Below are 2,627 nucleotides of genomic sequence, written 5' to 3' on the forward strand. Positions count from 1 at the left end.
TGATAGACAATCCGTGTTTCTCTTCCTATTTATCCACCTAGGAAAGTACCAATCAGTTTTGCTGCTATTTTAAATTAATCAGCTTTAGCTTTGTTTTCACTATTGCTTATCTCTTTTCTAACTCGCAGATTCATGCTCTAATACAAGTGTTTAAAGCTGTAAATTTCTCTGTCAACATTGCTTTATCATATCAACAGATTTTTATATATTTTCATTATCACTCAGTTCAAAATACAGTCTCATTTCTTTTGTAATTTTTGGTGCTCTTCTAGATATCTTATGACTGATTTCTAATTTAATTTCACTGTGAGCAGAAAAGACACACTGTATGGTTTCAGTCTTTCTAACTTTACCAAGTTTATCTTGGTGAACCACGTGCACTTGGGAAGAAAGTGCTTGAGCCGCAATTTGAGGGGTCAGTATTTTTTACGAGTATCCAATCCATCAAGCGGGCTGACTGCTCTTCGTATCCACGTTTTTACGAACACATTGGTCTATTGATTCTGTAGGTGTCTGACAGAAGATGTTAAAATCTTTACTATTAATTGGGTTTGTGAATTTCTCCTTTCATTTCTGTTAGCTTTTGCTCTACACATTTTGAAACTCTGTGGTTAAGTGCATGCATATCAATATTCGCAACGTCTTCTTGAAAAAATTGACCCTTTCCTAACTATAAAATGTCACTATCTTTGGGAATACTCCTTGTCTTGAGGTCTCTTTTATTTGATTTTTAAATAGCCTTCCCAGCTTTCTTATGCTTTTGTTTTCTTGGTACGGCTTTTGTCCAGCTAGTTAAATATAGAATAATAGATATGTTTGGAAGCAAATAAAATAATGGCAAGAATAGTTTTGAAGTGAATGACAGTGAGCCAGAGATAAAGTTTACAAGGACTGAGACTCCTTGTTGCAGAAATGAAGCAGTGGGTTTCCTCGCCTGGGAGCAAGAGTTGCAGAGTGGAGGCTCCTGGGGGGAGAAAACTGGCCACGAATGGCAACAAGAACATCTGTGACGCGCGCACCCCAGGTGAGGGAAAAGCAACAGCCACCACTGGATTAGTGACTGCCATAGGAGAAGCAGATTCTCATGAGGGTAGGGTCAGGGCGGGGGAGTGTTCATTCTCACAAAAAGGTGAAGAGAATATTCAGAGAAACAGTTTGGGTGGATAAAACAAAGTTACCGGCGGACCAGGAACTCCAGAAGGTACAGTGGAAGGGCTTCAGGATTCGGAGAGGGCGGAGGGTTGGGATTCGGAAAGGATACCTAGAGCCATATGGTGAAAAGGAGTGGGAAGGCTGGCCTGGGCTTCCCTGTGAGACCACGCCCGCGAGGATGAGAGGCAGCCCGGAATCGTCCCCTCCTACCCGAGGCCAGTAGGGACCACACCTCCTCAGGGGGTGGGACTGCTGCAATGGCTCAGATCTTAGGTAATCCTTTTAACTTCCACCGAGAAAGTCTTGGGGTTAGGAGAGGCGGGACCACACTCTCATCTCTTGCAAGACAGCTCGGGCAGTGATACTCATTTTTGCAGGGCTATTTGTTCAATTTCAGTCTTTCTCATTAGCTTGTCAGCACTTTTAAAGCAGGTACTATTTCTGTGTTTGTTCACAATTGTATTTCTGCTACTTAGCTCAGTGTCTAACACAAAGGAGATACTCAAATATTTGTTGGTAGTATTCTGAATGAATGCTGCAAACTGTTGGAAAGCAATTTGGCAATTTGTATCAACTATTGTAATATAAATAATATAACTTTCCTAATCATATAAATATTTATATGATTTTGAGAGCCATAATTTTACTTCTGAGAATCTGTTTAAAAAAAAGCAAAATGTTTTAATGTTTGTTGCATTATTTTAAAATGCAAATAACTATTTAAAATCCTCCCAACAGGAAAATGCTTTAATAAATTATAGTCACAGAATTAAAATATAATATAGTTAGGAAAGTTTTGTTTAAAATTTATGATAATGTTTACTCTTCTTTTATAATGCTCAGTAACAAAAATCCTTTTATGTTGTTTCAAAAAAAGATAGATGCAAAATTAGAAAGAGAATGTAGACTATGTATGTAAAATATAGAAAATATTATATCTACATATTGTAACTATGTGTGAGTTCTGGAAATACAAAAATTTTCATTTTCCTTATTAAATTCTATATGTTTTATACTGTATCATCCCTCTATTTTATACTCAGAAAGGATAGCCATAGATGAGGGAAGAGTGTGGAGATTGACTGTCCAGGGAAACATAAATTGAACTGTTACTTTCCTTTCATGTTAGCAAAATTCCCTGTTAGCCAACAAGTGAAAGCACCGACATGTATTCTAGTTATTTTGCTTTTCAACGAAGCTATTAGAGCATATTTAAATGTGAGGGCATCAAAGGAAGCACTTGATGAAGTGTTTGGAGAGCAAACTTTGGTCCTGTTCATCTTTTTCTTAATTTCCTTCCTCATTTTTATCTTTGGTCGTTCAATAACTTCTATTTCCTGTATCTTTCCAGCTCCCCCCACTGCTCACCCATCCCTCAACAATATCAGGGCTCTGTGACAAGGCGGCAGGGGTTGCATCGAGGCATTTTTTGGACATGCACCCTGTGCCATCTTCTGTGCCAACCCTGATGGTGC

The 2,627-nt window shown here is 38.4% G+C and overlaps 1 annotated feature.

The window, feature by feature from the left end:
- Positions 1,281–1,409: a silencer, noted in NCBI's record as "fragment chr15:27833083-27833211 (GRCh37/hg19 assembly coordinates)". NCBI's record gives its function as "represses an EF-1alpha promoter that drives an FKBP-Casp9 reporter gene in an ReSE screen in phorbol 12-myristate 13-acetate-treated (for megakaryocytic differentiation) K562 erythroleukemia cells {active_cell/tissue: K562(+PMA)}" and the evidence as "EXISTENCE:reporter gene assay evidence [ECO:0000049][PMID:32094911]".

Source organism: Homo sapiens, chromosome 15 (genome assembly GCF_000001405.40).
Source record: "Homo sapiens chromosome 15, GRCh38.p14 Primary Assembly".
NCBI classification, from domain to species: Eukaryota; Metazoa; Chordata; class Mammalia; order Primates; family Hominidae; genus Homo; species Homo sapiens.